General features: G+C 39.3%; 1 protein-coding gene and 1 pseudogene across 2 annotated transcripts in view, besides 1 other annotated feature; both read right to left on the bottom strand.

Annotated features, from left to right (window-relative positions):
* Window positions 1-25,847, bottom strand: part of DIAPH2 (diaphanous related formin 2) — a 920,156-nt gene that overhangs the window by 260,384 nt on the left and 633,925 nt on the right. The window lies entirely within an intron of this gene.
* Window positions 2,569-3,070: an enhancer, noted in NCBI's record as "NANOG hESC enhancer chrX:96596543-96597044 (GRCh37/hg19 assembly coordinates)". NCBI's record gives its function as "activates a minimal SCP1, AML or CMV promoter by ChIP-STARR-seq in naive H9 embryonic stem cells {active_cell/tissue: H9 hESC(naive)}" and the evidence as "EXISTENCE:reporter gene assay evidence [ECO:0000049][PMID:30033119]".
* RN7SL74P (RNA, 7SL, cytoplasmic 74, pseudogene) lies at window positions 3,270-3,568 on the bottom strand (annotated as a pseudogene).

Raw genomic sequence — 25,847 nt, 5'->3', positions numbered from 1 at the left:
CTTCAAAGAGATTACTTTGTAAAAGGGATAGATGGCTGGCGAGTCAGCACTGAAATTTTTCACAATTGCAACCATGTCACCAAATCCTATATGGGACTGCAGGTAAGAAAAGAAGTGGACAACATCACTCCATATCATCCCTGTATTTAATGTGGGAATTTTAAAAACTTATTATTTATTTTAAATTATCTATATTATTTTTTAGAGACAGGATCTTGCTCTGTTACTCAGGCTGGAGTGCAGTGGCACAATCATAGCTCACTGCAGCCTCGAACTCCCAGGCTCAAGCCATCCTCCCGTCTTAGCCTTTCAAGTAGCTGGGACTACAGATGTATGCCACCACACCTGGCTTCATGTGGGAAATTTTTATTTTGTTTTTTAAGCCACTAAATACAAGATACTGGGGTGGTATCATGCTAAGCATTGTGGTCGATAGAATGATCATTAAAGCCTTAATCTCTACCCTGAAGAAGTTTATAATCTAATAGTACAAATAATTCTACCACCATCGATTTGCATGTGTATAAGACTTTATCACTTATTATATACCTTTCCTTCCATTATATCCCATATTCTTTATAACAACCTTTTCAAAAAGGCAGAGCAATATTACCATTCAAATTTTAGAGTTGTGGGAGCTAGATAAAAGGCAGTCATCCATTTAGGGTTAGAATGTAGACACTGTAATAGTCCATGGCATGATATCTAGTTCTTTTCATATAGCAGTGTATTGTTTACAATAATAGTGACCTTCATGTGGCAAAATCCAATATTAACTCCTTTATTTTTCTTTTTAGGTCTCAGCAGCATATGACACATTTAGCTACTTCTCTTAATTTCTGTGACACAGAAATGAAAAGTTTTCTTTCTCACTTCCTCTCCTCTGGTAATAATTTCTTTCTTTCTTTTTTTTTTTTGCTTTGCTTTCTTTTGTTTTGTTTTTTTGAGACAGAGTCTCACTCTGTCACCCAGGCTGGAGTGTAGTGGCATGATCTCAGCTCACTGCAACCTCCGCCTCCCGGGTTCAAGCGATTCTCCCGCCTCAGCCTCCCAAGTAGCTGAGATTACAGGCGCATGCCACCATGCCCAGCTAATTTTTGTATTTTTAGTAGAGATGGGGTTTCACCATGTTGGCCAGGCTGGTCTTGAACTCCTGACCTCAGGTGATCCACCCGCCTGGGCCACCCAACGTGCTGGGATTACAGGCGTGAGCCACCATGCCTGGATTCCTCTGGCGACTTCTATAAAATGTTAGAGTAGAGGGCTTGGTCCTGAGCCCTCTATCTACATTCTCTGTCTAGTTGATTTCAGCAATTCACATAGCTTTAAATATCATCTATATTGATGACGCCCAAATTTATATCTCTCCTATCCCAATCTCTCCCCTGAGACACACACTTTCATAATCAACTGTCTACATATCATCTCTACTTGAATTTTTTAAAAAATGGTATCTGTTGATATTTCAAATGTAAATTCCTTTCTGAAAACCCTCTAATAACTTTCTACAACACTTGGAAGAAAATCCAAAGTCTTTCCCATGATTTACAAGGCTCTACATGATTTGTCCGCTACCCATCCCTGCAATGTAAGCTCATGCCATTCTCCCTTTAAAGTACTATGCCTGGCTACATCAACCTTCTTTCTGTTCCTTCAACATACCAAGGTCACAGACAACTCAGGGCCTTTGCACTTGTTCTCTCTGCCTAGACTGTTTCTTTCCCACCAAGCCATTCAGTCGCAGCTCAAATGCCACTTCCTCATAGAGGCTTTCCCCAACTATCCAATCTAAAATATCCATCCCCATCACTGTTACTCTGACCTATTTTATTTCATCTGAGAACTTAATCACTATCTGACATTATCTCTTTTGTCTATTTTTCTTATTTCTTATTTCAATCTGTTTATTGCCTACCTTTCCCTACTTAAAAATATGGTCCATGAAAGTAGACCTTCTCTGATCACTGACTCATCAACACCTAGACGTGCGCCTGGCACAGAGAAGAAATAGTAGCAGTAACAAAAGAAATGAAAATCAACAATAACGACAATGTAACTGTACCTAACCTTTTTAAAAAATAAATTGTGTGAGCCGCTGTGGAAGACTTCCCATGGACTAACTCATTTCATCTTCACAACAGCTTTCTGAGATAAAAAAATAATTGCATAAGGTCACACAGCTAGTATGTCACAAAAATGGAAATAAACTGAGTGTGCCTCCAGAACCCATGTTCTTAACCAGTAAGCTATACAGTTCTTAAGAAATATTTGTTGAAGGAGTAAAGGCTCATTCTAACACTGCATAGGATGACACCACTGAAGGCTGGGTCATGGGCTGACTTGAGTACTTAAAAACCTGAAATCCCTTTTATGAATCTTAAACCAATTTCACAGCAAAACTCATTTACTGAGAATATTTTTACAGTACTATTTCATTGTATTTGAGAACGCATTTTAATCCCCTCGTTTCATCAATCTGAACATCTTAAATACATTTTAATAACAAGGTTGGCTTCAATCATATTTATTTTAAAGCTATATATGTAATAGTGAATATGTTTATCAGTAGAATGATGGTCAGCCTAAATTAAGTTTGTGTCTTTAGACCTGAATGTTGCTCTAGTAGATATTTTAGTAGATGTAATAGTTAATTTTATGTCAATTTGACTGAGTTAAAGGATGTCCAGATAGCTGGTGAAACATTGTCTCTGGGTGTGACTGTGAGGGTGTTTCTGGAAGAATTTGCATGTGAATCAGTAGACTGAGTAAAGAAGATCACCCTCCTCAATGAGGGTGGGAAATGATCCAATTTGTTGAGGGCCAAGATAAAACACCAAAGTGGAGAAGGGTGAATGCTCTCTCTCTCTTCTGGAGCTGAGCCGTCTATCATCTCTTGCCCTGGGACATTGACATTCCTGGTTTTTGGGCCAAGGGACTGGGACTGGGGCATAAACAATTGGCTCCCCTGGTTCTCAGGCCTGTGGATTTGTATTGGAACTATACCATCAGTTTTCCTGGTTTTTTAGCTTGCAGAAGCTTGGAGGTTAGATGACAAGATGTCTCAGCCTCCATAATTCTCTCTCTCTATATATAGATGTATAAAATATTCTTATTTTATATAAAAAAGAAATATATATATATTCTTTTTCTCTGGAGAACCCTAATACAATAGATAAAATTTAAAACTGGCCATTTTGTTTATCTCCTATATTAGAGAATAGAAATTAAGAATACGGTTTAAAGAAAATAAGTCTTTTTATTTTTTTCTAAGAGACAGAATCTTGTTATGTTGCCAAGGCTGGAGTGTGGTGGCTATTCACAGGTGCAATTCCACTACTGATCAGCATGAGAGTTTTTACCTACTTTGTTTCTGACCTGGGCTAGGTAACCCCTGCTTAAGCAACCTAGTGGTCCCCCGTTACTGAAAGGTCACCATGTTAATGTGGACCTTAGTGCAGATGCCCAATCAGCCTAGCGCATTATAGCCCAGAACTCCCGGGCTCAAGCAATCCTCTCATCTCAGTCTTCTGAGTAGCTGGGCCTACAGGCATCTACCACCATACCCAGTAGAAATAAGACTTAAATGTATGTAGTGGGATGCCTCACAAAAAAAAAAAAAAAAAAAAACTTACTATAAAATGCATTTTATGAAAGGCTAATTGCCAGGGCACAGTGGCTCACGCGTGAAATCCCAGCACTTTGGGAGGCCAAGGCAGGTGGATCACTTAAGGTCAGGAGTTCGAGACCAACCTGGATGTGGTGAAACCCCATCTTTTCTAAAAATACAAAAAACAGCAGGATGTGGTGGAGGGTACCTGTAATCCCAGCTATTCGGGAGGCTAAGGCAGGAGAATGGCTTGAACTCGGGAGGCAGAGGTTGCAGTGAGCCGAGATGATGCCACTGCACTCCAGCCTGAGCGACAGAGCGAGGCTCCATCTCAAAAAAAAAAAAAAACAAAAAAAACAATAAAACAAAAAACCAGCAAGGCTATTTGGTGGCTTACAGGCAGTTTTGATTCTAGAAACAGAATGACATTTTCATGTCGTAGAGATACAAGGTATCTTTACAGCTACCTGTAGATTTCTATTTATAATATAAAGTGGGTATATCTTTAACAGGACCTTGTCTATGGAGAAGGAGGAGAAAGCTTGTTTCATCAGTAGAGATTTGATCTGGGTTACTGTTACTCCTCACTTGGGGTTAAGACTGAATATAACTGAGACTTAAGAAAGTGTATTGTAGACCATTATGATTGGTGTGACTCGGCCAGGCAGCCTGCCCTTAGTTGTGTTTTGGCAGCACTGAGGGAGAAGCCTATGGCCATATTTAGGGTGACACGGGAAAGCTGGTTATGGACACACTATATAACTAATGCTAGAACCTCTCCTAACACAGTTCCCTGAGAAACTACTGAAGGCACTGGTACGATCAGCAGCCAAAGGGCATTTGCTCCTGAATACCCAGATTTCCTGGCATTTGGTGCCACAGGAGAGAGTGACAACAACTACAAAAGCTTCAAAGAACAGGACACTCTGGGGAGGATGATTAGACTATTCCAGGATCAAAATGTAGAGTGACCTCTTCCCATCTGTTTAAGCAACTTTGGAAGTCCTTGAAATATTTAAAGAGAAGAACTCTGGGAAAACAATGGACCTTCCAAGATGAAGGTAATTCAGAGTAATTTATAACCTAAAATAAATATAACCTTATGGCAGTGAAGTGGGACATATCTAATACATATAAACTTGGCAAGTATGAGAGGAAAATAAGAAATTCAATGCAATTTTCCTTTTACTAGTCCCCTTTCAAATTCCTTGTTCTACAAAGACAAATATTTCTGATTTTTCAAGCATGAAGTTATTTAAGATAACTGTAAGCTAAAATCACATCATCTTCTCCCTAACAGAAGTGTTCTTTGTGGGGTTTATAAACTAAAATGTGTGCAGCATTTTAAAACACTGCAAGGTAAAATGCTAATGTTTTGAAAATGTTATTAATTTGAAATCAGTTTGGTCTCAGTCATGAATCTGGAAAGTTAATTTATAAAACATTTATCATAAGTCCCACAACGCATTTTTATTTCCTTTTTTTTTCTTTTGAGATAGAATCTCACTCTATCTCCCATGCTGGAGGGCAGTGGCGTGATCTCGGCTCGCTGCAACCTCTGCCTCACAGGTTCAAGTGATTCTCTTGTCTCAGCCTCCCATGTAGCCGGGATTACAGGTGGCCAGCACCATGCCCAGCTAATTTCTTTATTTTTAGTAGAGATGGGGTTTCATCATGTTGGTTAGGTTAGTCTCGAACTCCTTCCTGACCTCAAGTGATTTGCCCACCCAGGCCTCTCAGTGCTGGGATTACAGGAGTGAGCCACTGCACCCAGCCCACAAAGCATTTTTATCTAGGGAATCTCATCTAGGGAAGCAGTGATCAGAATTACTGGGGTATTTATGCACTATATAGAATTCTCTTAAAGCTTTTATCACTCATGTTTTTGTGTGACTATATATGAATTTCTAGATTATATTCCTTAGTAATATACTAACAGTATGGACTTAAAATTCAACCTGAGATAGTTGTAATTCCTCCATAAGCTTATACCAAAATAGAAAGTAAGTTATTTCCTTTATACTTTAATGTACATTTATATTGGTTTTGACTATTTCAGGTAGCTGAAGGCAGGTGTTATACCCCCTTGCCCTCTAACTGATCCTATTGGTAAAGTAGGATCACTTCATCAATGCTATGTGTAGAAAACTGTTTATCATTTTACTTAATTTTGATGTAAGGAGTAATTGTTACCACAAAAAACATGTTCCATTAGAATTAGAATAAGCATTAGCAGAGCACTGGGAAATGAAGAGTTTATAGAGCTCATAGATACTTGAGTCAAATCAGTTGCTACAATTTTTCATCTTCATAGGTAGTACCTTAGTTACTTATAATTTTCATTTTAAAAGCCTGAAATATTAAATATCATTACTGCTGGATTGTTGAAGAACATGGAAAAATCAACTTGAGATCCACTTAACCTTCACACAAGCTTTAGTTAACAACCTGGCATAATTACCCATTTAAATAAAAGGAAGTCACAAATATACAATCTATTAAAATATAGACAGCATTTCCACTTTTTAAAACCTGTCAGAAAAGATTCCTCTTAATGCTAAAAACAAAACATGAATTTTTCCATTTAATTTGGATAATTTTTAGTTAGAAATTATTAACATTTCAAAGAAATGTACTTTAAAAATAATATTAAAATATGTGAAACTTACAAACCACACATTATGTGATGAATATGCATTGACAAGTATTTACAAATATGAAGCATTAACAAGGATAATATGGAATGCATGTATTAATTTTCATTTGGGTTCAACATAATACTTTAAAATAGTTCAAGATATAGACTAAAAAAATTCTGTTAAAAATCAGATTATAGGCCAGGTACGGTGGCTCACGCTTATAATCCCAGCACTTTGGGAGGCCGAGGCGGGCAGATTACCTGAGGTCAGGAGTTTGACACCAGCCTGACCAACATGGCGAAACCCCATTTCTACTAAAAATACAAAATTAGCCAGGCGTGGTGGCGCACACCTGTCATCTCAGCTACTTCTGAGGCTGAGGCACGAGAATTGCTTGAACCCAGGAGATGGAGGTTGCAGTGAGCTGAGATTGCACCACTGCACTCCAGCCTGAGCAACGAGCGAAACTCAGTTTCAAAAAAAAAAAAAAAAAATCAGATTATAAAACTGAGGCATGGCTATCATTACTGCCACCCATCAGAGCAGTTTGGGTGAGGACTCAGCCAGGACCAGGCCAGGACACAGGTGAGTAGCAACTATCCTGGTGGCAGCCCACTAGGACAGCCTCCCTGCAAACCTTCCAGAGGAGAATCAGTCACCTCACTTTTACACCTTTTCCGTTATTCTGACACCCAATGTGGGGTTACGTCCATGTATTAGTCTGTTCTCATGTTGGTATGAAGAAATACCTGAGACTGGGTAATTTATAAAGGAAAGAGGTTTAATTGACCCACAGTCTCACATGGCTGGGGAGTCCTCAGGAAACTTACAATCATGGTGGAAGGCGCCTCTTCACAGGGTGGCAGGGGAGGGAATGAATGCCAGCAGGGGAAATGCCAGACAGTGATAAAACCATCAGATCTCATGAGAACTCACTATCATGAAAACAGCATGGAGGAAACTGTCCCCATGATCCAATCACTTCCCAATGGGTCCCTCCCATGACACGTGGAGATTATGGGGACTACAATTCAAGATGACATTTGGGTGGGGACACAGACAAACCATATCAGTCCATAATCCCTTCTGGGGATCAGAATCACCAGATTTGTACTATCCGAAGTATATCAAGTACCCCTGCTTCTCTTTTTTACCTCCTGCCCCATTGGAGTAGCCATTTTCTTAGTGCTCTCTCACTACCTAAAGAGTAGATCTTGTTAAAATAAAAAAAAAAAAAGAAAAGAAAGAAAGAAAATCGAGGCATAGGACATTTAAATAATATAACAAAGATAGTATAGTCAGTGGTGAGTATTTTGAACCAAAGTCCTCAGTTTTTAACATAGAGGAGGTAATTATGCTACCAGAAAGATAAAAACATTCTGCAATGACCCCACTTTTCCATAAATGGTCTGAGTCAGCTAGGATAAAAAAAATGCTTTTAAATAAGCCTCCTGTTAAAGTCACAAATGTGGTAGTTATTAGAGAGATAAGAAGTACACTCAGCACTCTTAATTTTCTCTACCCACTTTCTTTATTCACTCTCTTGTCTTTTATGTGTCTGTCTTTTTATCCTTCCTTCGAAGACAGAGTTTAGCTTTGCATCCTTAGTCACCCAGCAGAGTGATTTCTTCACTCATTTATTCAAACATTTTGATTAAATGCCTACTATGTGCCAGGTATCTTCTAGGTGCTGATGACGGAGTAGTGAATATTCAGACAAGGTTACTGCTTTCCAAGGAGATGTCAGTTGAGTGGGGAAAATATACATTAAACAAATACAAAACATTTTTTAAATTGCAATTTGAAAAGTGTGACTGCAGGCTGGGAGCTGTGGCTCACAACTGTAATACCAGCACTTTGGGAGGCCGAGGCGGGCGGATCACGAGATCAGGAGATCGAGACCATCCTGGCTAACATGGTGAAACCCCATCTCTACTAAAAATACAAAAAAAAAATTAGCCGGGCGTGGTGGCGGGCGCCTGTAGTCCCAGCTACTCGGGAGGCTGAGGCAGGAGAACCGGCGTGAACCCGGGAGGCGGAGCTTACAGTGAGCCAAGATCGTGCCACTGCATTCCAGCCTGGGTGACAGAGCGAGACTCCGTCTCAAAAAAAAAAAAAAAAAAAGAAAAGAAAAGAAAAGTGTGACTGCAAAGCTTAAGTTGTTATAAGAATGTATATTTGGGAGACTTAATAGACTTGTGGGGGACAGGGGTAGGCCATGAGTCTGGAAATGCTTCTTGAAAGATGACGCACTAAAACTCAAACCTGGATGGTAAGAGCCACAAGGAGTATTGTGGTAGTATGAGGGAAGGCTTGGAAGGATATTAAATATTCTAGGAACACAAAGAAGATGAAAAAGGCCTAGAATACTAGAGACTACGGAGTTAAGTGGGAGTGAGGAAGGAGATGGTTCCTGAGGTAAGCAGGAACCAGATTCTATAGATCTATTAAGCATTTAAAACTCTTTCTTGCCCAAAACGTAAGTCATTGACAAGGTTTAAACAAAGAAGTGGTAGGATCAGATTTCCTTTGCTTAAGGTATAAAAAATGGTGCCTAAATTAAAACACATACATACACACTAACAACAACCAAAAACTCTCAGACTAATTTAAATGAAGCATAGAATACAATCTAAATGATAGTAAGTCTATTTGCTAGTTCCTACTAATGAGAAGAGTATGCAGTATGTAAATATCCAATTAAAGTACATTTGATAAATTATTGAGAATGTTACACAGAATCAAAGGCAGTTAAAAAATAACAGGTGTTAGGCAATACATAACTATTAAGATTGCCATATAGTTGTGTTTACCGGAATACAGGAGTTATGGTTAAACATTTTTGAGATTGATGTGTATATTTTGGAATGTCAGTATTATTATTTAATATTCATGGTAGGCATACACAGATGTTAATTAGATAAGGTCCTACCCCAAGCCCTACCTCACACTCAGTTCTCAGCATCATTTATCATGCTGCGATAATATATAAGAAACTGCTAGAGATTAAATAGAGAAAAAGAAAGTAAAGTGATAAGACATGGTTCCTAACCCTCACTGAATTTATAAACTAGTGTTAGGAGACGATAAGTAACAGCAGAGCCTCAGTAGCAGAAACTAATGTTTATTGAACTCTTACAAGGAAGCAGGCATTGAACTAAATGCTTAACAAGCTTTGTCTTATTTAACCCCCACAATGGCCTATATATGCTATTATTAACTACATTTTACACATGATGAAATTAGCCTCAGGGAGACCAACTAACTTTTTCATCGCCATCTAGATAGTATGTGGTGGATTCAGACAAAACTGTTTTAAACCAGCATGTTTAGCCCATAGTTTGCTTCCTCTTTTTTTTTTTTTTTTTTGTTTTGTTTTTGTTTTTTGAGACGAAGTCTTGCACTGTCGCCTCGGCTGGAGTGCAGTGGTGCGTTCTCGGCTCACTGCAACCTCCGCCTCCCAGATTCACGGGATTCTCCTGCCTCAGTCTCCTGAAGAGCTGGGATTACAGGCGCCTGCCACCACACCCGACTATTTTTTGTATTTTTAATAGAGACGGCGTTTCACTATGTTGGCCAGGCTGGTCTCAAACTCCTGACCTTGTGATCCACCCGCCTCAGCCTCTCAAAGTGCTGGGATTACAGGCGTGAGCCACCGTGCCTGCTCTGTTTTTTTTTTTGTTTTGTTTTGTTTTTTTAAACTAGCATGTGGTAAAATAAATTTCACATAGAAAGGCCTGACTTTGGAATCATTAGGAAGTTTCACAAGGAAGTAACTTCCAAATTCCATCTTGAGGTATGGAAAGGATTTTTCTATCCAGAGAGAAGACACTCCAGGCAATGAAAATAGCATGAGCAAAGGTCTCAATGTATCTAGAATTGTTTTTTGTTTTTTTTTTTTTTTTGAGACGGAGTCTTGCTCTGTCGCCCAGACTGGAGTGCAGTGGCGCGATCTCGGCTCACTGCAAGCTCCGCCTCCCGGGTTCACGCCATTCTCCTGCCTCAGCCTCCCGAGTAGCTGGGACTACAGGCGCCCGCCACCACGCTCGGCTAATTTTTTTGTATTTTTAGTAGAGACGAGGTTTCACCGGATTAGCCAGGATGGTCTCGATCTCCTGACCTCGTGATCCGCCCGCCTCGGCCTCCCAAAGTGCTGGGATTACAGGCTTGAGCCACTGTGCCCGGCCTCAATGTATCTAGAACTGTTAAGGAACTGGAACTATTCTGAGATAAGGTAGCTTGCACAAGCAGGGAGCTATAGAGGGGATAAGCCTGAAAAGGAATGAAATGCATGTTAATGTTTTCAAGTTTCCTTTGCAGGTGATGAGTTATCAATATTTTTAATCAGAGGAGTAACATGACCTTACCTGTTTTTAGGAATCTAGTTTGGCAACAGGAGAAGGATAATTTGGAGAGATGAGAGATTGGACATAGGGAGAGCATCTGGGAAGCTAACAGAACAGTACTGCAAATGGAAAGCAGGGGATAGATATAAGAAATATGGGTCGGGGGCGGTGGCTCACGCATGTAATCCCAGCACTTTGGGAGGCCGAGGCGGGCGGATCACCTGAGGTCAGGAGTTCGAGACCAGCCCGGCCAACATGGTGAAACCCCGTCTCTACTAAAACTACAAAAATTAATCAGGCATGGTGGTGCATGCCTGTAATCCCAGCTACTCAGGAGGCTGAGGCAGGAGAATCGCTTGAACCTGGGAGGCGGAGGTTACAGTGAGTGGAGATCACACCACTCCACTCCAGCCTGAGCGACAGAGTGAGACTCCATCTCAAAGAAAAAAAAAAGGAATATGAAGGAAGTAGAATCCATGGAACATGGTGACTGACTAGATATTAGTGGCTAGAGAGAGGGGAATATTGACAATACCCCTTGAGTTTTACAGCCTGGGTGACTCTTAGTATGTTTTGTGTGAGCTTGTGTTTTATCAGAACTTGAGAAACAAGTAAGGGAGCACTATTTTGGGGGCAGAGAATAATGACTAGTTTTAGACAAATTGAGTTTGTGGTATCTGTGAAATACTGGGATAGTGAAATCTAATAGGCAGTTGAAGTATATAGGCTCCTTGATAAAATGGAGATCAGGTTGCATGGCAGCAGTAAGAAGTACAAAGCAGTAAGAAGTACAAGGAGCAAGGACAGGAAGACTTCCTCTTAGCCAATCGGATCGAGATCAGGACAGTACTTTAACAAGGCTCCCTTAACATTCTTGTTGGTTCAGTGGACATTCCTTTAGTCCGAATATGCTTGGCCTTGATATACTCCCCCCAAATATAGGATATTCTGGAAATATCTAACTACAGAGCAAACTATCAGATCCTGCAGTCTGTGCTAACAGTTTCAATGATTATAAAGGATGATTTTACTACAAATATCAATGAAACAAAAACTGTACTCAGTGTGAATTTTGCCAAAGGGAAGGTCCCTGGGGAATCTAGTTTTATTGAACAGTGACAGAGCTAGGGCAAAAAGGAGTTTAAGAAATATTACTACAGATTCAAGAATAACTGGATACAGTTATGAAATTACTTAGAAATGGTGATGCCAAGTGTCTGAGACGATGTTTCTCATTATATTGTGCAGTCTTTGTGAGTGTGTGTGTATTTTAATTTTTATGGTACCAGGTACTTCTGATATGTCTGTTGTTTTGGAATGAATATGTACATATTTGGGTTTGATTGGACCCTTTAGTATAATTTTCTGAATTCTTTGGACATTTTATTTCCATTTTTCCCATTTTATAAGTATTTTTCCTACACTTATTTTCAAATGTCCCATTTTAGGTTTGAGAATTATACTGAATTATAGATAGTGTCCAATCATGCTTTTTCAATCTAAGTAGTGGTTTCAATTCAGCTGATACTGCTTTTCCACTTCTTGTTTATCTTTGCTTACTTAACTAAAATCACCAATGAGGTAAAGAAGTGGCAACAAAAAAGGAAATGTCTTCCAAATCAAGTTTACTAATAAAGATAAGAGCCAATTCTGTGCATTCAAAAGATCTATGAACTGAGGCAAGAGATTTAGCCCTTTTTATATATATACAAGATGATCTGTGGAATTTACATCCCTCACAGCAGATACAAAATAAAGCAATTTGAGTAGAAATTCTGCAAGGTTCCTTCCAGCTGTATAATGCTAGATTCTATAAGTATTCAGGTAAAATGAAAGCACTAACATCTTGATAAAAAGTATTTTGATTTTTTTCTCATGAAAACACTTGAATATATTATTTAAGCTGGTTGTTTAGTGTAGGAAACTCCCTATTCTAGAATGAATATATTTTGCACACTTTTATGTCTTATGATCTCTAAAACAGGGTTAAGAACCTTGCAAGTACATGGCAACCTCATACTGAATTTAACCTACAGTAAACTATCTCAATGACAGACATGTTACTCTGAAATAAAATAATGACATTGAAATACTATATATTTTCTAACCCAATTGCTTATTAAAGACTCTCATTTCTTTTCCATGTGGGCTGTTTGATACCCCTGACATTAGAATTCCAACTTCTAGTTGTCTAGTTTGAAGATCAGAATCCATTCATGCCATCACCTTATATAAATTTTCTCATATGGTCATGTAAACCTAACCTTAACCCTGATATCCTCCTACTTAATAAAACTGTTTGCATGGTTGAAAACAAGTGCATTTCACGATATAAAGTACTTTAATATAATACTTCAATCATAGCAGTCAAACATTTCAGAATGTTTCCCTGAATTTATTCAATATAGGTAATAGCCCAACTCTGGACCAGAATTTCCACAAGGAAAATATTACTTTTGCAACAAAAATTTTTTTGCAGACAATACTGCTTTTTGTTTGTACTGTATTTCCTAAGCTGTTCAGCAACTCCTTTTCTCTTTTAAGGTTTCCCTAAAATATATGCATTTCTGTGTACGTGTAGGTATGTATGTGTATATACTTATACATACATTAAGAATTTACTAATTTTACTGGGTCACTGGTGGATTTTGTGTTTTTTTCCTAGTATCAATTTAATGTATGTCTTAAATATGAAACTGCATTATTTAACTCTGAAAGACATTTTTAGCTTTATGTGGAAGAAGCTATTTGAATACAGTGGCATTACTTCCAAAGAACACATTTCTTTTCTTTTCTTTCCTTTGTTAGAGACAAAAATGTGCCCTGTGAAAATTTTCTGCTTGAGGAAAACAAACAATAACAAAATAGCTTCAGTAGTGTTCAGTTTGTGACATGGATATAAACTAGAACTGTGAATCTATCTTTAATGTGTTTGCTGTCTCTAGGTGTCTCTGACATCTCAAAAAATTACATGATCTTAGGAACCATATATATTTCAATGTCAATGTGTTATTCAAAGCCAGCTCTTGGACTGAAAAAAAGAAAAAGGCAGGATCTTGAAGAGATAGTTGCACTCCTATATTCAATGCAGCATTATTCACAAGAGCCAAGAAGTTGAAAGAATCTACATGTCCTTCAAGGAATAAAGAAAATGTGGTTTATACATATAATGGAATATTATTCAGTCTTTAAAAACAAAGACATCAAAAGGCTGGGTGCAGTGGCTCACACTTGTAATCCCAGCACTTTGGGAGGCTGAGGTGGGTAGATCACCTGAGGTTAGGAGTTCAAGACCATCCTGACCAACATGGTGAGACCCCATCTCTACTAAAAATACGAAAGTTAGCTGGGCGTGGTGGCGGGCGCCTGTAATCCCAGCTACTTGGGAGGTTGAGGCAGGAAAATCACTTGAACCTGGGAGGCAGATGTTGCAGTGAGCCAAGATTGCACCACTGCACTCCAGCCTGGGTGACAGAGCAAGACTCTGTCTCAAAAAAAAAAAAAAGAAAGAAAGAAACACATCTTGTCATATGTTACGACATGGATGAGCCTTGAGGACATTATGATCCATGAAATAAGTCAGTCACAGGACAAATACTGTATGATTCCACTTATATGAAGTATCTAAAGTAGTCAAACTCATAGAAACAGAGAGTAGGTGGCTACCAGGGGCTGAGGGGTGAGGGAAATGGGGAGTTGCTATTGAGTAGGTGTAGAGTTTCAGTTATGCAAGATGAAAATTTTCTAGAGATCTGTGGTACAACATTGTGCTTATTATTAACAATGTACTGTACATTCAAAAATTTATTAAGAGGGTAGATTTCACATTATGTGTTTTTACCACAATAAAGGAAGAAATAGGCAAACTTCTATTTAGGTCACTAACTCTACACACACATACACACACATACACACACACACACACACACACACACAAACACCAAATCTAAATTTTTATTTCTATGTTTGAGTAGTCATATGGCTCTGTGCAAGTTCAGGAGAGAGGGGTCAGTGACTTTCTCCTTCTCCCCTAGGCAATTCATTATACAAAGGCTTTGATTAGAGCCCAGAGAAAGCATGTGGGGTGTGTGTGTGTGTGTGTGTGTGTGTGTGTGTGTGTGTGTGTGTGTCTAAGAATGCAGGGAGGGCAGAAAAAATGCCAATAGATGTGCCCAGATAGACTATGAGATCCACATTTTAGAGCTACTTTGTGACAATGTCGAGCAAAGGCTTCTAAGTGTTACACAGAGTTACTATGAAAACAGCAATGGAATTAGAGGTATTAACTACAAGAGAAAAGTTCTATGATTGAGCCAACCATAAGTGGAGAACCCGGCTCGTTCCCTCACATGTGCTCTCCCTTTTGTAATGTCCTGGTGCCTTGGAGGACATGTTACTCCCTCAGAATATTGAAAGTAGTCATTGGCTGGTCTAAAGACTTTCAGACGTAGAGAAAATCTCCAACAACTGATAGAACAGGTTATATACACCAGTGTCCAGTTTAGTGAAGTTTCAAAAAAATAAAAACCAAGACACTCTAATTGTTCATATATGCTTCTACTGGATATCAATATTTGAATCACTCTGAAATAAGATTTAATGTTTGTTTCTTTTTTAAATGTGGGCTCTTTCCTTTTAGCCTCTCAGTGTTTTCTCATTTTAGAGAGGTGGGTGGGGGAAAGTGATTTTCACTCACTTACATGTAAAACAAAAATATATCTCTTTTATCTACAAATGCCCAGACATTGTCAAGACATAAGAGCAAAATGTGCCAAAATGTTAGACTGTTAGTTATTTTGCATAAAACACACATCCAAACACATATTAACTGAACAGCAGATGGCAGAGAAAAGAAAATCAGTTACATTGCAGTGTGGGTGAAACATGCCCAATAAGTTCTGTAAAGATGGAAACCTGGGCATAAGAGAAACCATACTGAGTAAGCAAATGGAATGCCTAATCTGATTCTTTCATCTTCACTGTGTTTGATTTATCCTGTCCATAAATACAGTATCATTTTTATCATGATGCCTTAAGGCTATTTTTGATGGAAAGGGAGGGGTAAACAGAGTATGTTTACATAGTAACACATTTGGGGAAATCATCTTGGAATAAATACTTTTAATGATGTATAGTGCTTCCTAATATTCATTAGCGGGTGAAAATTAATTTAGATAAAAATACTAATGTACTAGGAAAAAATGATGAATGTGGCTGTATATTAGTCTAGAAATATAAGAAGTATATATATTAGAGCTCATTTTATGAATGAAATTAATAAATTATTTATATATTTTAACATCATCCAGTTTATAAATTATTTTTTCTAATTAAAAGCAGAAAAATAGGGATAAGTATCTAAAATAACATATGGCAAATAATCTTTAAAATATTTGCACACTTACTACTGATTTAGGAATTTCAGCTTAAAAAATCACATTTATCTAAATCAGATTGAAACTGAGATGTTTACTGAGATGTAAACAAGAGCAATGATAGATGCTAGGTCCAGAGAAAGCAATGAAATGACTTATAATTTAAGGAGCTAATAACATAGTTGTTTTTTGTTTGTTTGTTTGTTTGTTTTTTGATACAGAGTCTCACTCTGTATCAGGCTGGAGTGTAGTAGTGCAATCTCAGCTCACTGCAACCTCTGCCTCCCGGGATCAAGCGATTCTCCAACCTCAGCCTCCCAAGTAGCTGGGACTACAGGCGTGCGCCACCATGCATGGCTAATTTTTGATTTTTTAGGAGAGATGGGGTTTCACAATGTTTGCCAGGCTGATCTTGAACTCCTGACCTCAAGTGATCCACCTGCCTCAGCCTCCCAAAGTGCTGGGATTACAGGCATGAGACACTCCGCCTGGCCGTTAAGAAGCTAGTAACATATTTCTATAGCAAAAGAGTGATCTGATTAAACTAGACTCCAAAATAATATTTACCTATATGTTCTGATACTATTACAAAACCAGAAAACACAATCCCTAAACAATACAGAAAAAAACTGGTTGCTTCTGGAGGAACATCTTTGTTTTTAAGTAAATTAAGAAGGGATTCATTAAATGAATTGTGGGGAAGGGTATGCTATTTAAAAAGCCAAAGTATCAGGGAAATGTCAACTTGGAAAAAGGGTTAAACATATAACAGGCTGGGTGTGGTGGCTCACGCCTGTAATCCTAGCACTTTGGGAGGCAGAAACGGGCAGATCATCTGAGGTCAGGAGTTTGAGACCAGCCTGGCCAACATGGTGAAACCCCGTCTCTACTAAAAATACAAAAATTAGGCCAGGTGCAGTGGCTTGCGCCTGTACTCCCAGCACTTTGGGAGGCCAAGGCAGGTGGATCACCTGAGGTCAGGAGTTCGAGCCCAGCCTGGCCAACATGGCGAAACCCTGTCTCTACTAAAAATACAAAAATTAGCCAGTAGCCAGGTGTGGTGGCAGGCACCTGTAATTCCAGCTACTCAGGAGGCTGAGGCATGAGAATTGTTTGAACTGGGGAGGCGGAGGTTGCAATGAGCCAAGACTGTGCCACTGCAATCCAGCCTGGGCGACAGAGCGAGACTGTCTCAAACAAAAATAAAAACAAAACAAAAACAACAATAAATAACAATGAAATTTCCTAGGCCGGGCGCGGTAGCTCATGCCTGTAATCCTAGCACTTTGGGAGGCTGAGGCAGGCGGATTGCCTGAGGTCAGTAGTTTGAGACCAGCCTGGCCAACATGGTGAAACCCTGTCTCTACTAAAAATACAAAAATTAGCCGGGCGGGGTGGCAGGCACCTGTAATCCCAGCTACTTTGGAGGCTGAGGCAGGAGAATTGCTTGAACCCAGGAGGCGGAGGTTGCAGTGAGCAGAGATGGCGCCACTGCACTCCAGCCTGGGCAACAGAGTGAGACTCCATCTTCAAAAAAAAGACAAGAAAGAAAGAAATTTCCTAAGCCCACAGATACTTGTCCATAAAAATAAAACCTGTTGAGTACTCTTATTTTAGAATGCAGGGATACAAATTAATTATAACTATTCAGCTTATAAGTGGTGGGGATCTTTTTCAAATAGATTTTTAAACTGCTTGTAGAACAACCTCCTTTTCCTGTATACTTTTAATCTGCTCCTGTTTCCCTCTTCTAGAGATGACCAATTAAAAATACTCCAGAGACTTCTTATGTGAAAGCACAAAAAAACTCATACATTGCTCCCTAGGACAGGTGTGCATCAATTACCATGGCAGGCCATGAGTGAATCTTTGCAAACTGCAATGCTGAACTTAATATATGCACATTTGCAAAGCAAAAGGATACTAATCAATCATGCAGAGTCACTGAGTGCAGCTCAGCAGAACTGCAAACCACAAACTTGCTTTCCTTTGATGCTACTTGGCTGAAACCTCAACTCAAGCAGTAGTGTTGTCCTTCTGAAACTAGGTTTGGTGCAGAACTGGACGGGCTGAAAATGGTATTGTCACAGCCCATTATAATTTTCATAGCAGCTATCTTGAAGCTCTAAGAATCAAGTCTGTTTTGCATGCATGAAAGCAAGCCCCAAGTCCCGGGCAGGTGGGTAGGTGGTTATTTCTGGCTGCAATTTTGCTAAGTCTCTAAACCAACCCTGCTTTAATTAGGAGCTTTTCTTCTGAGTTATTTTGATGTTAATAATATATGGCGGTCGCATTCCTTGTACATGTTCCCAAACAGTGATACAAACATTATTAAATCTAATCAGTGTTTATGGAGTATTCCATATGCTACCCACTGTGAATCTTTTGAAATGTCATTTTAGTGGATAATGCATAAAGAAGGGTTGGTATATACAATGACATGCTTTTGTTCCTTCAGTCAATGATTTTTATGAAAAATTTTCTACAGATATAGTTGCTTTCAATTTGTATTTGACCATATTTTAAAAAGAATATTTTTTGTTAGACTTCTATACGACAAATATTTAAATTCACAAAGACTTCCTACTCCAAAGAATACAATAATTAACTTTCCTTTTACTAAATTAAAGAACAGAAACAATACTGCAAATGCCTTAGATTAAATAAAGTAGATCAAGTTTAAATGAAACCTCTTAGAATTATGCATTAAGAAATATTTAACAAGAGTTGAAAACTAGGCACCACACCTAAAATACCTAAAATAACATTAGGCCGGGCGTGGTGGCTCACGCCTGTAATCCCAGCACTTTGGGAGGCCAAGGCAGGTGAATCACGAGGTCAGGAGATCGAGACCATCCTGGCGAACACAGTGAAACCCCGTCTCTACTAAACATACAAAAAATTAGCTGGGCGCGGTGGCGGGCGCCTGTAGTCCCAGCTACTCGGGAGGCTGAGGCAGGAGAATGGTGTGAACCCGGGACGCGGAGCTTGCAGTGAGCCGAGATCACACCACTGCACTCCAGCCTGGGCGACAGAGTGAGACTCCATCTCAAAATAAAATAAAATAAAATAAAATAAAATAAAATAAAATAAAATAAAATAACATTAAGATGAAAAACTAAAAAAGGCAAAACTTGGTCTTGTCTAAGACAGCTGAGTAACTGCCCAGACTGGACAACTATTGAGCATTATAATGTCCTTCCTACTCTCTGTATTAACAATCAACTACTAATATTCAATGTAGCCATTAAAAGTAATTCTCACCAGATGGTCCTATATTCCTGAAGATATGGATATGTATTTTCTCTCCTTGAGCAATACTATTAGGCAAATTATGGCTATAAGAAGCAGAGTTGCAGATGCAGATTGCACTCATCAGACATAAGGCCAACCACAGAGCCTCCTCCACACGCAGGCAGTGGACAATGGAGGCTGTTCATTTACCTCTTCATCCACAGCCATGTGCACAAATAACAATGGTCATCACCAGGGTCAATGTTTCTACACTCTAAGATGAATGATACATGTTTAAGAAAAATAATTTATTGGCCGGGTGAGGTGGCTCATGCCTGTAATCCCAGCACTTTGGGATGCCGAGGTGGGCGGATCACCTGAGGTCAGGAGTTTGAGACCAGCCTGGCCAACATGGCAAAACCCCGTCTCTACTAAAAATACAAAAATTAGCTGGGTGTGGTGGCAGGTGTCTGTAAGCCAAGCTACTCGAGAGGCTGAGGCAGGAGAATCGCTTGAACCAGGAGGTGGATGTTGCAGTGAGCCAAGATCATGCCACTGCACTCCAGCCTGGGCGATAGAGCAAGAGAGACTCCATCTCAAAAAAAAAAGACAAGAAAAATAATTTACTTCGATAACTTTTCAGCAGTCTCATAGAGATAGTTTAGGTTATCATTACCTGACTAGAGAATATACAAAGAGCTGACCTGTGGTGTTTTCCTGTAGGCATTGATACATTTGAGTCTAAGTTGCACAGGCCTTTTATACTCTACTATATGCAGGTTCTTCCAGATCTCTTGAACCTTTGTGTTTGAGTACAGACTATCACAATCTGTTTATTAGCTTAGATAGAAAAAAACAAGAACAAAAATTGAGATGCCGTCATTAAAAACAAAAACGCATGAGATGAAAAGCAAAAATTCTTTTTGCAAAAGATAGATTTTAAAAATGTACTATTTGACTAGTTCATTGTATCTACTGCGAATGAGGGGCTGTTTTGTCATTTTCCTGATCTTACGATGCTTTCCAAACAGCTGGCAGGCAGGCAATGTTTTTTATAGCTAATGAAAGGAATTTTATATGAAATGACAGTGCAGTTGCCACCTGAAAATATTAAGTGGTACATCAGATTCTTAGCTACAAGAGGTATTTATTTGCTCCTTTTATTATAGCTTTCTATAGGAGTAAGTAAGGCACTCCTCTCATGAGCCCCACATCACCTGCTGTGGAAGCCTTGCCAGAACCACAGCAAGGGGCTTCTCGAATGGGAATATCATAGAAAATATCACTGTCATCTATTTAAATATGTTTTATTGAAAGGAGAGTCATCTGTAGGCACCAAAGGGTAGCTGCTTCACTTAAAGTTGGTTATTATCAGAGTCAAATTAGATCTAAATACTGAGTACACAAATAAGAGCCAAATTTAAAAATTAGGTTCAACAAGTTATTTGATTTAGCCTATAAAGAGCCTCTTTTTCTGAGCTTACTTATTTTTTTTTTTTTTTTTTTTTTGAGACAGAGTTTCGCTCCTGTTGCCCAGGCTGGGGTGCAATGGCGTGATCTCGGCTCACTGCAACATCTGCCTCCCGGGTTCAAGAGATTCTCCTGCCTCAGCCTCCTGAGTAGCTGGGATTACAGGCATGCGCCACCACTCCTGGCTAATTTTGTATTTTTAGTAGAGATGGGGTTTCTCCGTGTTGGTCAGGCTGGTGTCGAACTCCTGACCTCAGGTGATCCGCCCACCTCGGCCTCCCAAAGTGCTGGGATTACAGGCATGAGCCACCGCACCCGGTCCCTGAGCTTTTTTTTTTTTTTTTTTTTTCTTGAGACGGAGTCTCACTCTGTCACCCAGGCTGGAGTGCAATGGTGCGATCTCGGCTCACTGCAAGCTCCGCCTCCCGGGTTCACGCCATTCTCCCGCCTCAGCCTCCAGAGTAGCTGGGACTACAGGCGCCCGCCACCACGCCCGGCTAATTTTTTGTATTTTTAGTAGAGACAGGGTTTCACCGTGTTCGCCAGGATGGTCTCGATCTCCTGACCTCGTGATCCGCCCGCCTCGGCCTCCCAAAGTGCTGGGATTACAGGCGTGAGCCACCGCGCCCGGCCAAGCTTACTTTTTAAGAACTGGCATAGGGCGGGCACAGTGGCTCACGCCTGTAATCCCAGCTACTGTGCCCGGCCTATGCCAGTTCTTAAAAAGTAAGCTCAGGGGCTGGGTGCGGTGGCTCATGCCTATAATCCCAGCACTTTGGGAGGCTGAGGTGGGCGGATCACCTGAGGTCAGCAGATCGAGACCAGCCTGGCCAACATGGGGAAACCCCGTCTCTACTAAAATATACAAAAATTAGCCGGGCGTGGTGGCAGGCGACTTAATCCCAGCTATTTGGGAGGCAGAGGCAGGAGAATCATTTGAACCTGGGAGGCGGAGGTTGAAGTGAGCCGAGATTGAGCCATTGCAATCAAACCTGGGGTATAAGAGTGAGACTTCTCTCAAAAAAAAAAAAAAAAAAAAGAACTGGGATAAACTTAAGAATAAATGTTAAAATATTTCTATTTGTACTTGTAGGAATATATCATAGTTTACAGCAAATACTAGAGTTGCAAAAGATCTTTTGCTATCAACAACCTACTTTTTAGTCAGGAAGGAAATCTCAAAGCACTATCTCTAATCCAACTTAAATTTTGAGTGGTAGGTTTCATGTGAAAGGGTTTTTTTTTGTTTGTTTTTTCATTCTTTAAAAACTAATCAAAATCAGTAGATTCAGATAGACTCCCAGACCTCTCCAAAACTGTACATATTAAACCAGTGACTAAGAGTCAGCTATGGTTTCTGGTGTTTTCTTTGTGTATGCCTTCAGGCACACACATGTAATTTTTGTGCTTCAGGGAGTTAGTGCTTCATAAAAACAGAGATGAATGGTTATAAAACATACACCAGTGCCCTTTGGAAGTAATTAAAAATATGGCCCTTCCCCATCCTCATTTCCTTTCCTTTTGGCATTGCCCCTTCTATATCCTATGTTCAGCTTTTCTTCCACCTCGCAAAATATATTTGATTTCTTTTTCTACTCTCCCATAAAGAATCATATGCTTAAACTTACAGAAATGTGCCCTAAATACATTTTTTAAATTGCATTAAAAATAAGAAGAATAAACTCAAGAGAACATTGGCTCCAATTCACAAACTATGTAGAATATTTTCTGTCCTAAAAGTATGCCTTTATTGTCTTCAAAGGGGTCTGCAAAGTGTGAATTATAAACAATATATCTTCATTAAATACTGTGGAACACATATTTGATGAATACATTAAAATTTAGTTAAAATTAAATTTTCAACTCCATTGCTGTGGGCTTTTAGATTTGACATTAACATTTATTAATCCAAATACTTTAATAAAAATACGTCCTTCCAAATTATGCTACATGCAAATATACTTTTAAAGGTATAAACTAGCATGTCATTTGTATATATATGCCTGAAATCAAAACAGTTTCTAAGATGATTCTCAGCCAAAATTGGAAGGCAACTTTAAAGATCTGGCAAATAGCCATTTAAGACACATACATGGCCGGGCGCGGTGGCTCACGCCTGTAATCCCAGCACTTTGGGAGGCCGAGGCGGGCGGATCATGAGGTCAGGAACTAGAGACCATCCTGGCTAACATGGTGAAACCCCGTCTCTACTAAAAATACAAAAAATTAGCCGGGCTTGGTGGTGGGCGCCTGTAGTCCCAGCTACTCGGGAGGCTGAGGCAGGAGAATGGCATGAACCTGGGAGGCGGAGTTTGCAGTGAGCGGAGATTGCACCACTGCACTCCAGCCTGGGGGACAGAGCGAGATTCCATCTCAAAAAAAAAAAAAAAAAAAAAAATAACAACACAACAACAAAAACACATACATATGTGAATGTATGTGAACGTACATGCATATGTATATATGTAAATCTGAATGCAATGACATGTAAATTCATTTAATTTATATTACTTATTTTGCAATAATAATTTATTAAAGCAAATAAATATTAGGGAAAATAACATTATGATAATAATAAACACCTTTTGTTGTGCGTTAAGGGGTATGATAATGCCTATATCATATGCTACCTGCATTATTTTGGATTTCTACTGCACAGTAATGCTATATTTCACATTATTTATTTGATCTCTGACACTGAAAATGAGCCGTGTTATAAAGTTATACTGCACACTCTATTCTTAAATTTGTTTCCATACTACTCCAAAAGTAACCCTAAGTCCCTAGTGCATAACATGATTCAGAGGTTAATTCTCCATCTAGCACTCTCTTTTCCGTCTCCAGCTATTAAAGAATTGTATAATGGTATTCTAAATGTTTCAGCTTAGAAAATGTGCTCCTATCAGTAATCTTATAAATTATGTCATAAAGGATAACTGACAACCATAGTGGACTCATAAATACTAAATGAATTAGTAATAAAATCTCTACTAATTCCATCAGAAATTAAAGACATAGCTTTTAATGAAAATATTTTTTATACTTTTCTTTTTACTCCTTCTATGCTGAATATGTTATATATTTCAAGTAAAATAAAAGATCTTTCATTTGACTCAGTTTGTAATGTAAATTATCCAAAAATTTTAATGTAAGAAGTTATCCAGAAAGCTTAACCTACATTCAAGGCAGCCTCAACTTGAGAGATTTTTTTTTTTTTTTTTTTTTTTTGAGACGGAGTCTCGCTCTGTTACTCAGGCTGGAGTGCAGTGGCACCATCCTGGCTCACTGCAACCTCAGTCTCCTGGGTTCAAGCAATTCTACTGCCTCAGCCTCCTGAGCAGCCGGGACTGCAGGCGCCCGCCACCACGTGTGGGTAATTTTTGTATTTTTAGTATAGACAGGGTTTCACCACAATTGGCCAGTCTGGTCTCGACCTCCTGACCTCAGGTGATCCGCCCGCCTCGGCTTCCCAGAGTGCTGGGATTACAGCCAAGAGCTACCGCGCCTGGCCAAATTGAGAGATAATTTTAAGGGTGATCAGTTTGTTCTAGTTTGCCTGGGATAGACCCCCTAGTTTTAGTACTAAAAGTCCTGTGTTCATGGAAATCCTTCAGTGCCTACAGTTAGTTAATTTAGAGGTAACACTCAAACATACGGTCCTTTATGCTGTTTAACCATTTATGTTGTGAATGTTTCACAAAAACAAATAAGTATGCTTTTTTGGTTACAAAGTAGTATGTCTAGCAGCAGAAAAACATAGTCTTTCAAGAGTATATTTAATATTATTATTATTTAATATTATCAATTTTTATTATCAATTATATATATATATATTTTTTTTTTGAGACAGAGTCTCACTCTGTCACCCAGGCTGGAGTGCAATGGCGCAATCTTGGCTCGCTGGAACCTCCGCCTCCCAGGTTCATGCAATTCTCCTGCCTCAGTCTCCCAAGTAACTGTGATTACAGGCACACACCACCACACCCGGCTATTTTTTGTACTTTTAGTAGAGATGGGGTTTCACCATGTTGGCCAAGCTGGTCTCAAACCCCTGACCTCAGGGGATCCACCTGCCTCGGCCTCCCAAAGTGCTGGGATTGCAGGCATGAGCCACTGCAACCGGCCAATATTTATTATCAATTATATTTATCATGTCCCATCTATTCCTTCCTACACAGATACTGACTGAGTGCCTACTCAGTACTAGGTGTTATACTAGGCACTAATTCTATTTTGAAATAATATTATGGGAATTTTGGCCGGGCGTGGTGGCTCACGCCTGTTATCCCAGCACTTTGGGAGGCTGAGGCGGGCAGATCACGAGGTCAGGAGATTGAGACCATCCTAGCTAACACGGTGAAACTCCGTCTTTACTAAAAATACAAAAAATTAGCCGGGTGCAGTGGTGGGCGCCTGTAGTCCCAGCTACTTGGGAGGCTGAGGGGAGAATGGCATGAACCCGGGAGGCGGAGCTTGCAGTGAGCCGAGATAGCGCCACTGCAGTCTGGCCTGGGCCAAAGAGCGAGACTCCGTCTCAAAAAAAAAAAAAAAGGGGAATTTTATATGAGAAGTACTTTAACGTTCTGATTCTCTATAAGAGTTAAAGCCCTACAATTAGAGTAGGAAAAAAGATCTTTTTCCAAATTTGATTTATTACCTTATAACTTCTATATTGCCATGGAAGAGACAAAGAACAAAGATTTGAAACTTTTTATTTGTAGAAGTGAGAAAGGGAGCATCAGCGATAAATGGAAAGAGAACAAATTATCAATTTCTATACAATCTTTTTCTTACTGCATAACTGTTTGCTCATCAATTTTAGAAAATTCTCAAAATTATGAATGGAAAATATTCAGAGTCAACTTTCTAGATCTGAAGAATTTATTTTAAAATGTCGTAAGGAGTCTATCAAAATACAGTCCTCCCAATCTAACCTTTGGCTCAGAAGGGAAAAAAAATACAGCTACTGGTATTTCTTGAAGATTTTCTGTGTTTGAATCCTTATAAGAAAACGTCATTTATTTCTGATTCTATTAATAATATCACTGAGAAGCTTTACCTAAGTTTAATGTCGCTACTGTTTTACCACTATTCTTTCTCCAATTTTGGGTGATGTTTAGAACAGCAAGGATGACATGACATCTTGAAAACTGTAATCGGCCGGGCGTGGTGGCTC

Source organism: Homo sapiens, chromosome X, assembly GCF_000001405.40.
Source record: "Homo sapiens chromosome X, GRCh38.p14 Primary Assembly".
NCBI classification, from domain to species: Eukaryota; Metazoa; Chordata; class Mammalia; order Primates; family Hominidae; genus Homo; species Homo sapiens.
Note: the sequence above shows the minus strand (reverse complement) of the source record. Positions and strands in the feature narration are given on the sequence as shown.